This window comes from Homo sapiens, chromosome 2 (assembly GCF_000001405.40).
Source record: "Homo sapiens chromosome 2, GRCh38.p14 Primary Assembly".
Taxonomy (NCBI): Eukaryota; Metazoa; Chordata; class Mammalia; order Primates; family Hominidae; genus Homo; species Homo sapiens.
In genome coordinates this window covers 197,476,162-197,489,618 of record NC_000002.12, presented here as the reverse complement: position 1 = coordinate 197,489,618, position 13,457 = coordinate 197,476,162, and the positions used below count along the sequence as shown (strand labels likewise).

General features: G+C 43.5%; 1 protein-coding gene and 1 non-coding gene across 3 annotated transcripts in view; both read left to right on the top strand.

Annotated features, from left to right (window-relative positions):
* Window positions 1-3,035, top strand: part of HSPD1 (heat shock protein family D (Hsp60) member 1) — a 13,691-nt gene extending 10,656 nt beyond the window's left edge. For both annotated transcript variants that reach the window (NM_199440.2, NM_002156.5), the window contains exons 9-12: window positions 372-617; window positions 1,128-1,302; window positions 1,583-1,761; window positions 2,421-3,035. In NM_199440.2, the coding sequence (NP_955472.1) occupies window positions 372-617; window positions 1,128-1,302; window positions 1,583-1,761; window positions 2,421-2,573 (753 nt within the window). In that variant the 3' untranslated portion in view covers window positions 2,574-3,035. The remainder of the gene's footprint in view (window positions 1-371; window positions 618-1,127; window positions 1,303-1,582; window positions 1,762-2,420) is intronic.
* SNORA105B (small nucleolar RNA, H/ACA box 105B) lies at window positions 2,716-2,831 on the top strand. The gene has a single exon (NR_132788.1). It is a non-coding gene; the product is annotated as a small nucleolar RNA, H/ACA box 105B (small nucleolar RNA).

Genomic DNA, 13,457 nt, shown 5'->3' with positions numbered 1-13,457 from the left:
CAAAGTCCTGGGATTACAGGCATGAGCTACCGAGCTCAGTTTTGAAAGGTAGAAGTGTATGCTACAAGGGATGTAGGACTTGAGAGTCAAGGCCTATGGTCTTGTCCTGGCTCTACCAGTAAGTGTGACCTTCGATGTTTTTTTCTCAAGTAAGGCTGGTAATAATTACCACAGTTGTGAGAATTGAGAATTTGGAAATGCAGTGAAAGAGACTATACTCAAGTCTTGTTCTGGACTAACAGTGATCTTAAAATCTCTCATTTCAAAGAAATAAAGTATTTTGATGATTCTCTTGCATGGTGTATTAATAAACTTGGTATAATGGCAGAAACTGTAACCTACAACAGGTTTACGTTTAACTCTTTTTGTAGGTGTTTGGAGAAGAGGGATTGACCCTGAATCTTGAAGACGTTCAGCCTCATGACTTAGGAAAAGTTGGAGAGGTCATTGTGACCAAAGACGATGCCATGCTCTTAAAAGGAAAAGGTGACAAGGCTCAAATTGAAAAACGTATTCAAGAAATCATTGAGCAGTTAGATGTCACAACTAGTGAATATGAAAAGGAAAAACTGAATGAACGGCTTGCAAAACTTTCAGATGGAGTGGCTGTGCTGAAGGTAACATTCATTATTATGAATAAGTTTCTTGGGTTCTGAGTCCAAGAATGATTTTGCTTCTGTAGTATTCCCCAGTAGTACCATAGAACTAAACGAATACTTGAGGAATTAACTTCATAGTGGAATTTTGTTTGTTTTGTTTTGAGCTCTTCGTCACCCAGGCTGGGATGCAGTGGTGCGATCTCGGCGCACTGCAACCTCCGCCTCTTGGGTTCAAGCGAATCTCCTGCCTTGGCCTCCCGAGTAGCTGGGATTACAGGCACTTGCCACCATGCCTGGCTAATTTTGTATTTTTAGTGGAGACAGGGCTTCACCATGTTGGTCAGGCTGGTCTCAAACTCCTGACCTCAAGTGATCCACTCACCTCAGCCTCCCAAAGTGCTAGGATTACAGGTGTGAGCCACCACGCCCACCTCAGGATTGCTTTTTAAGTAAACTGCTTTTAAATGACTTGGCAATTAGCATCTTGAATGAAGAGGCCATACTAACTGGAATTCTTTTCGTCTTTAGGTTGGTGGGACAAGTGATGTTGAAGTGAATGAAAAGAAAGACAGAGTTACAGATGCCCTTAATGCTACAAGAGCTGCTGTTGAAGAAGGCATTGTTTTGGGAGGGGGTTGTGCCCTCCTTCGATGCATTCCAGCCTTGGACTCATTGACTCCAGCTAATGAAGATCAAAAAATTGGTAAAAAGTTACCTTTTAAATGAGTTTGTGGCCTGATTTTAGTTTTTCTTAGAATAATAATGTTGCAGTCCCCTAAATGGAATAGCACATTCATTTCCTGAATAACAGAAGTAGAATAGTGCTAATGTCAGAGCTAAACATGCATCACATCTTTTTCAGAGGAAATGATTTGATCTGTAGTAGGATTGGGATTTCCCTACATCAATATCCTCACAACTTATAAATGTGTTACAATATTTACAAATGAAAGTATTAAAATTTTGCTGAAATTTCTCTGTAGGTATAGAAATTATTAAAAGAACACTCAAAATTCCAGCAATGACCATTGCTAAGAATGCAGGTGTTGAAGGATCTTTGATAGTTGAGAAAATTATGCAAAGTTCCTCAGAAGTTGGTTATGATGCTATGGCTGGAGATTTTGTGAATATGGTGGAAAAAGGAATCATTGACCCAACAAAGGTAAATGGTTGAACACTTTCTAAAAATTCTTTTGTTGTTCATTTTGTTAATGTATCCTCACATCCCAAATCTTTGATTTTGTCACCAGAAAAATAGTCTAATAGCAGTAGCAACAGCAATAGCTCTTGTGCCCATCAACAATTCTCATGTACATTTCCAGCACCTAGATATTTAATACTCCACTAAAAGGAAGCAGGATCCCTTGAGTAGCAGTTGAGTCCATGCCTGGAGGCAGGAAAAAATCAGGATGGATCTGGAACACCCTGTTCCTGCCTGGCAGTAAGAATACTTTCCAAGATACGCAGAACAGGGTTTTGTTTTGTTTTGAAGACAGAGTCGCTGTGTCGCCCAGGCTGGAGTGCAGGCAGTGACAACCTCCACCTCCTGGGTTCAAGCGATTCTCCTGCCTCAGGCTCCTGAGTAGCTGGGATTACAGGCATGCACCACCATGCCTGGCTAATTTTTGTATTTTTAGTAGAGACGGGGTCTCATCATGTTGGCCAGGCTGGTCTTGAACTCCTAACCTCAAGTCATCTACCTGCCTCAGCCTCCCAAAGTGCTGGATTACAGGTGTGAGCCACCATGCCCAGACAGAAATTTTCAATAAGTCTTGCTCATATTTTACTAAGGGAAAACTAATTAATTAAATTTTTTTCTAGGTTGTGAGAACTGCTTTATTGGATGCTGCTGGTGTGGCCTCTCTGTTAACTACAGCAGAAGTTGTAGTCACAGAAATTCCTAAAGAAGAGAAGGACCCTGGAATGGGTGCAATGGGTGGAATGGGAGGTGGTATGGGAGGTGGCATGTTCTAACTCCTAGACTAGTGCTTTACCTTTATTAATGAACTGTGACAGGAAGCCCAAGGCAGTGTTCCTCACCAATAACTTCAGAGAAGTCAGTTGGAGAAAATGAAGAAAAAGGCTGGCTGAAAATCACTATAACCATCAGTTACTGGTTTCAGTTGACAAAATATATAATGGTTTACTGCTGTCATTGTCCATGCCTACAGATAATTTATTTTGTATTTTTGAATAAAAAACATTTGTACATTCCTGATACTGGGTACAAGAGCCATGTACCAGTGTACTGCTTTCAACTTAAATCACTGAGGCATTTTTACTACTATTCTGTTAAAATCAGGATTTTAGTGCTTGCCACCACCAGATGAGAAGTTAAGCAGCCTTTCTGTGGAGAGTGAGAATAATTGTGTACAAAGTAGAGAAGTATCCAATTATGTGACAACCTTTGTGTAATAAAAATTTGTTTAAAGTTAATAATTGTGTTAGCATTTCCATGATTAGAAGATACTGAAAATTGAAAGCCAGTTGAAGGGCAGGCTGGCATGTGTGTAAAACATTATCCTATCTATGATATTTTCATGTTTCTCTTTGTTGCAGACTGAACTACATTATTCCATTGATAATGGGGAAAGACAGTTTCTATTTTCCCCGGTGCAAGGATGTAATCTCTCTTGGAGCTGTAAAATCTGGGAGGTTGGAGGGAACTCCAGCTCCTCAGCATGGCCTTTGGGCTGCTGCTGCAAGCAAGGCATTGAGGCAAATATTTTTGCTGTCCTTACCTTGGACAGAAGTAGAGGGGAGAAATAAAGTCCATCATCACATGAAAAGTCAGTCACTTGAAATCCTGTACCTAGAATACCTTTGGCTTTGGTAATTTCGTTGTGTTTGGGGTACAAAAAAAAGGATCTATTTGATAGCACAACGGGGTGACTATAGTCAATAATAATTGTACATTTAAAAATAAAAGAATGTAATTGGATTGTAACAAAGGATAAATGGTTGAGGGGTGATGATGATCACCCCTCCATTTCCATGATATGATTCTCCATGATATGATTCTCCATGATATAATTATTTCACACTGCATGCCTACATCAAAACATCTCTTGTACCCCAGAAATAAATACACCTGCTAGGTACCCAAAGAAATTTAAAAAAGGAGGATTGGTCAGCAAATGAGAGGGGATTGAATAAAAGGCATGTTAACTGAAGAAATCTTGTCTAGAATGTAGTTTGGGCTGTAAAAGTGGCAAGCAAGCAAACTCAAGTAAAAGAAATCTAGGGAGATAATTTACATCTTAAGAGGCCAACTAGTTTATTAGAAGAACAAGGAATAAGAAACACCTGGACTTAGTTCGTATTAGAGCAGGGAGAGTGACAGAAGACTAGAGATTAATAGGAGAGGAAAAACTAACCAAGTGTTTGCTATGCATTAGACATCAGGATAGGTAATTTTAACCCTCAATGTTAGGTTTGGGACTATTAAGCCTATGCTACATTTATATAAACTGAGACTCTGAAGGTCTAACTGCCAGCCGGGCCCAGTGGCTCATGCTTGTAATCCCAGCACTTTGGGAAGCTGAGGCGGGCAGATCACCTGAGGTCAGAAGTTCAAGACCAGCCTGACCAACATGGTGAAACCCCGACTCTACTAAAAATACAAAAAATTAGCTGGGCATGGTGGCAGGCACCTGTAATCCCAGCTACTTGGGAGGCTGAGGCAGGAGAATCGCTTGAACCCGGGAGGCAGAGGTTGCAGTGAGAAAAGAAAAAAACGGTGATAGGACTTAGGAATTCAGGTTTGTGGTCTAGTTCTGGTTTCACCAATAAGTGTAACCTTGGGTGCTTTCCTTCTCAAGCTAAGAAAGGAAAACGGAATTTCCCAATTCCTCTGGCTGCAGCTTTCAGGTTTCTTGCAACAATTGCCTAGACCCTGCTTAGCTTGTTCTTAGGTTGAGATCTTAAGTGTTTAAATGAAACACTGGTTCAAATTTGGGTCTACCACTTAACAGCTCTGAGACTGTGGAAGTTACTTAAGACTTTTTGAGATGGAGTCTCACCATCACCCGCTGGAGCACAGTGGCGCAATCTCGTGATCCTCAGCCACCCAAAGTGCTGGGATTACAGGCGTGAGCCACCACCCCTGGCCCAGTCTGATTTTCAAACAGTTAAATGTGGACCATCAATGTTGGAGTAAGAAAAGTACAGTGTAGTTTGTCATACTGAAAATACTCAGTCTGAATAGTTTGAATTTAGTAACCTTAAATGAAATCTTTGACTTTGTCACTAAAAAAAAGGTCTAATAGTAGTAGCAGCAACAGTAGCACTTGTGCCCATCAATAATTCTTTTTTTTTTTTTTTTTTTTTTTTTTGGAGATGGAGTTTCACCCTATTGCCAGGCTGGAGTGCAGTGGTGCAATCTCAGCTCACTGTAACCTCCACCTGGGTTCAAGCAATTCTTCTGCCTCACCCTCCTAAGTAGCTGGGATTACAGGTGTGCACCACCATGCCTGGCTAATTTTCATATTTTTAGTAGAGATGGGGTTTTACCATGTTGGTCAGGCTGGTCTCAAACTCCTGACCTCATGATCCACCCACCTCGGCTTCTGAAAGTGCTGGAATTACAGGTGTGAACCACCGCCACCAGCTGCCCATCAACAATTCTTACGTACATCTCCAGCACCTAGATATTTAATACTCCACTAAAAGGAAACAGGATTCCTTGAGTAGCAGTTGAATCCATGTCTTGAGGCAGGAAAAATGTCAGGATGGATCTGCAACACCCTGTTCCTGCCTGGCAATGAGAATACTTTCAAAAACACCCAGAGCTTTTTTTTTTTTTTTTTTTTTTTTTTTGAGACAGAGTCTTACTCTGTCATCCAGGCTGGAGTGCAGACAGTGGGGCGATCTCGGCTCATTGCAATCTCCACCTCCTGGGTTCAAGTGATTCTCCTGCCTTAGGCTCCTAAGTAGCTAGGACTACCGGTGCACACCACCATGCCTGGCTAATTTTTGTATTTTTAGTAGAGATGGTTTTGCCATACTGGTCAGGCTCGTTTCAAATTCCTGACCTCAAGTGATCTGCTGGCCTTGGCCTCCCAAAGTGCTGGGATTACAGGCGTGAACCACCTTGCCCAGCCACAGAGAAGTTTTAAAGACAAGAGCCAGCATGGCTGGGTGCCGTGGCTCACACCTGTAATCCCAGCACTTTGGGAGGCTGAGGTGGGTGGATGTTAGAAATGCTTGTTCCCCGGTGCTATAAAGAAATAGCACTTGAACATATATTTAATTTTCTCAGCAAGGCCATTTTTACTTTCTGCAGAAAGGGTACACTCACCAGCAGTTTTGCCACGAGAGTACACCGAACAAAAGAGACAGGGTCATTTATAACCTGGTGCATCCACCCTACTGCTGTGCCTGGTTTCCATTCACTGGAATGGGACCTCACATTCTCTATTTGTCCCCATTGGCTAGCAACTTAGAACTTTTCAAAAGAGGCAAAGGCAAGGAGAATACAGGCAGGAGGAAGTAACTTGCGGGATGCTGAGAAAGGTAAAAAAAAAAACACCTCCAAATAAGGAAGAGGAACAGGCTATGACCTAATGTTTGCTTGGACCAGTATAAGCATGCCAGGGCAAATATTTAGGCTAAATTGTGGGAGCTAAGAACACAAAGTATATTGATTTCTTTATTATGGCTAGCAGATATTTAAGAATGTTAGCACAGGTCTTTGAATAAATTTTGCTCCTAGGAGAAGTTGGTATTTCTTCTTAATTAGACAGGGAGGAAAGTCTCTTTGAAGAGGAACCTCTACTTCACTTTTGGTTTTGTTTTGTTTCGAGACGGAGTCTCTGTTGCCCAGGCTGGAGTGCAGTGGCTTGATCTCGGCTCACTGCAACCTCTGCCTCCCCAGTTCAAGCGATTCTCCTGCCTCAGCCTCCAGAATAGCTGGGACTACAGGCGCCCGCCACCATGCCCAGCTAATTTTTGTATTTTTAGTAGAGACGAGGTTTCACCATGTTGGCCAGGCTGGTCTTGAACTCCTGACCTCAAGTGATCCACCCACCTGGGCCTCCCAAAGTGCTGGGATTACAGATGTGAGCCACTACGCCCAGCTTTTTGCAATTACCTGAGGTCAAGAGTTCGAGACCAGTCTGACCAATATGGTGAAACCCCGTCTCTACTAAAAATACAAAAATTAGCAGGGCATGGTGGCTCGCGCCTGTAGTCCCAGCTACTCAGGAGGCTGAGGCAGGAGAATTGCTTGAACCTGTGGGGGTGGAGGTTGCAGTGAGCCGAGATAGCACCACTGCACTCCAGCCTGGGCGACAGAATGAGATTCTGGCCCCCTCACCCCCAAAAAAGAAGAGCCTGCCCAAGGGGTTTACTGGGCAAAGTTAGTACGTTTTGAGTATCAATAACAAATCATTATGGTTACTTAGAACAAAGCAAAGTGTTCATAATGATACTTAAAAGAGGAAAGTGAATATAAAGAACAGAAAAAGTTCTAATATAAACTGGTGAATATTATGTTTCTAATAAGCAGGAGTGTTGCTAGGCGTGGTGGCTCACACCTGTAATCCCAGCACTTTGGGAGGCCAAGGCAGGCAGATCACCTGAGGTCGGGAGTCGAGACCAGCCTGACCAACATGGAGAAACCCCCGTCTCTACTAAAAATACAAAATTAGCAGGGAATGGTGGTGCATGCCTGTAATCCCAGCTACTTGGGAGGCCGAGGCAGGAGAATCACTTGAACCTGGGAGGCAGACGTTGCGGTGAGCCGAGATCATGCCTTTGCACTCCAGCCTGGGCAACAAGAGCAAAACTCTGTCTAAAAATAAATAAATAAAATAAGCAGGAGTGCTGACACATATGTCTGCTGATAAAGCATAGATTATATTCTTGTTTCTATATGTGTAAACAGGAAGGAGTGAAATAAAACTGGTAAGAGTCATGGCCAGGTGCAGTGGCTCACACCTGTAATCCCAGCACTTTGGGAGGCTGAGGCGGGCAGATCACCTGAGGTCAGGAGTTCAGGACCAGCCTGGCCAACATGGTGAAACCCCATCTCTACTAAAAATACAAAAATTAGTGGGGCATGGTGGTGCGTGCTTATAGTCCCAGCTACTCAGGAGGCTGAGGCAGGAGAATCGCTTGAACCCAGGGGGCAGAGGTTATCCAAATTCTCCAGAAATACTGAACTTTCCAGGGAACTAAATTTTTGAGAGGAACTCATGAATATTAATAAATTCATGAGATAGACATAACTTTCTATATAATTTTCAGCATTTTGTCTTGTAAATAGTTTCTACTTATGAAACATATCTATGTTAATAGACAAATCAGGTCAATATACCATAAATAAGAGTTAGGTACCTAACAAATTAAAAGAGTACTTCATTTCCAGGAAAGGTATCAATTCTCTAAACATTAACATCTCTGAAACACAAAGGACCTAAGAACCTCATAACGTAACAAGTAAAGCTTTGTTATAAAAAACAAACAAAAAAGGGACTCATCCTAAGGGTAAAGGCTCAGCATCACACTGACCTGTGCAACCAACCAGGTTACACATTAACAGTAACCCAGATCCTGCAACTGTAGTTGGATTAAGATGGTGCCTCTTCTTGAGTCTAGTTAATGTCCTGAATGACCAGAAAGGTATAATAACGACCCTAGAAAGGCAACATTAATTCTCCTCCTAGGGTCTGGTGGAGTCTCCCCATCTTGCATCCCCCCGCTCTGCAAGCCATCTACCTCTGCCCACCTGGGAATGAGGGGTGAGGAGGACTTGGGGGCTGGGTGGAATCCTGTCAGTTGGTGAAGCCCTGTGGCAGCAAGGTCTATGTCGACATAAGAGTATACCTTTCTTCAGCCACTGACTGCATGTGAATGACAATGAAATAGCTGGAGTCGACTGCCATCAGAAGCTATCAGTGATGAAGGGCTGAGCTACACAGACTAGGTAGGATGTGTATCGGATACGGTCACGACTCTCAGTACTGGGCAAGACAGAGAAGTTTGTGGTCTTGTTGCTGACTTACTGAAATGTCTTGGGCTCTGCTTTTCAACTGGTTCCTCTGCTGGGCTCAAAGGTTGGGAGTAGGAGACAATATCCCATGCTGACAAGGGCTTGGCCTTTATCTTGGGCACCTCATTGCTTTCAACCTGTGCCCTTTCTCCACCTTTGCCCTCCCAGTGGTTGGTATGTGGGAAGCCCATCTCAATTCGTCTCAAACCAAGGATGAGGGTCTAGTCTCTGCCATGACGGTGGGATCTGAGGCCTTTCCTCACCCAGTCTGGTGACTGCCCTACACTGCACCAGACACTGAACTCCCGGACCCCCTCCTCCTTCCCTTTGTTACCCCTTTCCTTCAGCTCACTTAGCCCAGTGCTGTATCCAGCACCAAAAAAAAACCTAAGTGTTTGTCCTCTGCTGGGTTTGGGTACACAAGGAAGCCTTGGGGTCTGGAAAAAGGCCGCTCTTATCTAGAGTTTACCCACAGGCCGGGGGCTGCCATTCTCTTCACAGATACCCCTGCAAGAGGAATTTCTTTTGGGGCACATAAGTGAGGACTTCATTTCAACAGAGGCTGGTGATGGTGGGGGCGTGGACTTTTTGTTTTTGTTTTTGTTTTTTTTTTTGAGACAGGGTCTCACTCTGTTGCCCGGGCTGGAGTGCAGTGGTGCGATCTTGGCTCCCTGCAACCTTGACCTCATGGTATCAAGCAATCCTCCCACCTCAGCCTCCTGAGTAGCTGGAACCACAGACATGCACCACTCTGCCTGGCAAATGACTTTTCGTAACATGTTAGGAGTTAATGTTGCAAAGTTTACCTCTTCACTTTCTGAAGACACATGAATATAGGACCAATGTATTTGTGACAAGCAAATGCACTAATAGAGAAGGGCCATCCGCCCCTGCCCCAGCTCAGATAGAGGTGCTGAGCCCATCACAGTTATTACACGTCTTAAGTTTTGTTCAATTATAGCTCTTTTCCCTTTCCTGATGATTGAATTTACAAAAGAAAGTAGGCAGCTCAGAAGGCCCTGGAAGTGAGGAGTAGGGGCAAGGATCATCAGTGACTAGTTAGGGAGGATGAGGGTTGTTTTTTGCCAACAGCCTAAGTAGAGTAATCTGGATTATCTGGCACCCTCCTGGATGGAACCCTAGAGTTCCTCCTGTGTGAAAGGGTCCCTGGATTTTCCCCAGCCCCCACCCGTCTCTACCTTCAGCCATGTTGATGGCAGAGAAGGTAAGAACTTACAGCCTGTTTCTCACTGGAGAGTGAAACTGGCCATCTGGCTTACGTTCATAGTACATTATCTTTACTATGTGCCAGGATATCACACTTAAAAAGGCCACACACAAAAAATGTAAAATACTTGAACAAGCTTGTATTATAATATTAATATTATTGAGAGTATCTGCTTTCTGGGCTGATGTGATTCATTCATTATTCCAGTCTGGCTTTAATCCTTTGTAATTTGTAGTAATTATGCTTTTCTTTCTTTCTTTTTTTTTTTTTTTTTTTTTTTTGAGACGGAGTCTTGTTCTTTGTCGCCCAGGCTGGAGTGCAGTGGCACAATCTCGGCTCACTGCAACCTCCGCCTCCCGGGTTCAAGTGATTCTCCTGCCTCAGCCTCCTGAGTAGCTAGGATTACAGGCCCCCACCACCATGCCTGGCTATTTTTGTATTTTTAGTCGAGATGGGGTTTCACCATGTTGGCCAGACTGGTCTCAAACTCATGACCTCAGGTGATCCGCCTACTGCAGCCTCCCAAAGTGCTGGGATTATGGGTGTGAGCCACCGTGTCTGCCCATGCTTTTCTTAATACAAAAAAAGAAAGTATAAAAATAAAAACTTGAGTCCGGGTGCTGTGGCTCACACCTGTAATCCCAGCACTTTGGGAGGCTGAGTGGGCGGATCACAAGGTCAGGAGTTCAAGACCAGCCTGACCAACGTGGTGAAACCCCATCTCTATTAAAAATACAAAAAAATTAGCTGGGCATGGTGGTGGGCACCTGTAATCCCAGCTACTGGTGAGGCAGGAGAATCGCTTGAACCCGCGAGGCGGAGGCTGCAGTGAGCCGAGATTGCGCCACTGCACTCCAGCCTGGGTGACAGAGTGAGACTCTGTCTCAAAAAAAAAAAAAAAATTTACTCTCACTAGCCCTTTCTCAGGAAGCCACTAGTGGATTTGCCCCAGCATTTTGAGAGAGCACATCAAAATAAGAGGAAGCCAAAAATTCAGGAAATAGCAGGTCCCAAAGAGGAAAGAGGAAGGGAAGTCCCAGGATGATTGCAAGGAAGCCCTGCAATTATAGCTGTGCAACATCCTGGAGAGCAACCAGTTCAGACTGGGGCAGAAGGGCGGCTGCAAGTAACCACTGATACCAGACTAAAAGTGAATTCAACACTAGATGTCTGTTATCTCACATAACCAAAAGTGCAAAGTTGGCAACTACAGGGTTGGTTCATTCACCCTTAATGATGTTAGAACTCTGAGTTGGCTTCTCTGAATTACCTTGGCTCTTCCTCATAGCGAAAAGATGGCAGATGTAGCTACAAACTTCATGTTCTCAAATCAGGTAAAAATAAGGAGAATTTCTCTTCGAAGGATCCTCCCACAAAGAGAAAAATCTTATCTAACAGCCCCATCCCACCAGTCTTCCACTCAGATTCCACTGGCCAGATGCCATTTTCAAAAAGTTTATAGACATGATATTGTTTTCCCCCTTATTATATGTAAAGCATAGATGCCAAGTTTTAAGTCTACAATGCCTCTAAGAGTTCTACTTTATCTACTGTTCACTGCAAATCTTGCCCTTAGGTCAAAACAAGCTTGATGTTGCTTTGTAACACATACTACAAATCCCGCCCCTTAGTTGCCTAAGGTATATAAGCCCTGGGACCATGATGATCCATCAGGGGATCCACCATCTTATCTTGCAGCCGCCCCGAAACATGGCTTCTGCTCCTGTGTGTAGGTCCCTATTAAATGTTTCTTTCTGAGAAACTGGATTTGTCCACCTTTCTTCTGCCTCTCAGTTTCCTCAGCTTTTGTGGCTAGGTTTGCATAGACCTGCCCACCACAGAATCAGAAGTCATGGCCTCAAGACTGTTGGGCTAGATAAAGCAAACAAGAGAGCATAGATATTAGAGCCAGAATGTGTGGGGTTTTCATCCTGTCTTTACCAGTCACTGTGACCTTAGAAAAGTTACTTAACCTCTCTTTATAAAACTTTTTCTATGTAAAATGAGGATAATAGTATCTACCTCAAAAAGTTATGATTAAATGTTTACAAGGCATTTTAAACTGCCTGGCATCTAGTGCTATGTAAGTGTGCAAAACAAAATAATTTTGTTAAATGCCTAAAAACTTGAGCCTTGAAAACTGAGGTGGTCAGTCCCATGAAATTCCAGAGGTCTATATATCACGATCTTATGAACTCTTTCTCTTATAAACAGGGGAGGAAAAATAAAAGGAGAGTATCGTAAAATTGCCCTCAGAAAAACTCCTGACCAGGTCTATCTCCTTCTTGGAAGGTCTGAGCTTAGAATGCTGTTACGCAGAATCAGATGGACTCCAGATATATAAACTCTGACACTCTAAACTTGGCCTTAAGTACCTGCAAAGACCCAAGATCCATTTGTTAACACTCAAATGATCACTGTGTTTGTTGTATAAAGGGAACACTGGAGTTAACTATTAGAACACTACTAGAACCATTTTTGTCTCTTTTTGGAGATAAAGTCTCATTCTGTTGCCCAGGCTGAGACGCAGTGGCATGATCACGGGTCGCTGCAGCCTCGACCTCCTAGGCTCAAGCTATCCTCCTGCCTCAGCCTCCTGAGTAGCGGGGACTATAGGCACATACCACCACACCTGGATAATTTTAGTACTAATTTCTAGAATTTGAGAGACATAGGCAACTGAGTTTAGCCCCAAGTTTACAACTTCCTTAAAATTTAACATAAACCAATGAGCACCCTCGCAAAGGGGAAATGAGTTTTTGTATTTTTTGTAGAGATGGGGCTTCATCATGTTGCCAGTCTGGTCTCAAATTCCTGGGCTCAAGCAATCCACCCACTTCAGCCTCCTAAAGTGCTGGGAATACAGGTGTGAGCCACTGTACCTGGCTGGCATTTGTAAAAGGAGTGATAAAGTATGGGTTCCTATTTCCATCAAAAGAGAATACAGGCATGACATGGTGGCTAAGGCCTGCAATCCCAACACTTTGGGAGGCTGAGGCAGGAGGAGTGCTCGAGCCCAGAAGTTTGAGACCAGCCTGGGCAACAAAGGGAGCTCTGTCTCTAAAAATAAATAAATAAATAAATAATTTTTTAAAAAAGAGAATACAGTACATGGAGATAATAAAATGTCTGAGTCTTATTTTTAAAAAGCTTTAAATGACTTTGCCATTTTAAAAAAACTTTGTGGCCGGGTGCAGTAGCTCACGCCTATAATCCCAACACCCTGGGAGGCCAAGGCCGGCAGATCATTTAAGGTCAGGAGTTCAAGACCAGCCTGGGAAACATGGTGAAACCGTCTCCACTAAAAAATACAAAAATTAGCCGATGTGGTGGTGCGCGCTGATACTCTCCAGCTACTTGAGAGGCTGAAGCAGGAGAATCACTTGAACCTGGGAGGCGGAGGTTGCAGTGAGCCGAGATTGTGCCACTGCACTCCAGCCTGGACAACAGAGTTGAGACTCTGTCTCAAAAAAACAAAAAACAAAACGAAACAACAAAAAAAAGTTTTTTGTTTTTTGTTTTTTTTTTGAGGTGGAATCTTCCTCTGTCGCCAGGCTGGAATACAGTGATGTGATGTCTGCTCACTGCAACCTCCGCCTCCTGGGTTCAAGTGATTCTCCTGCCTCAGCCTCCCGAG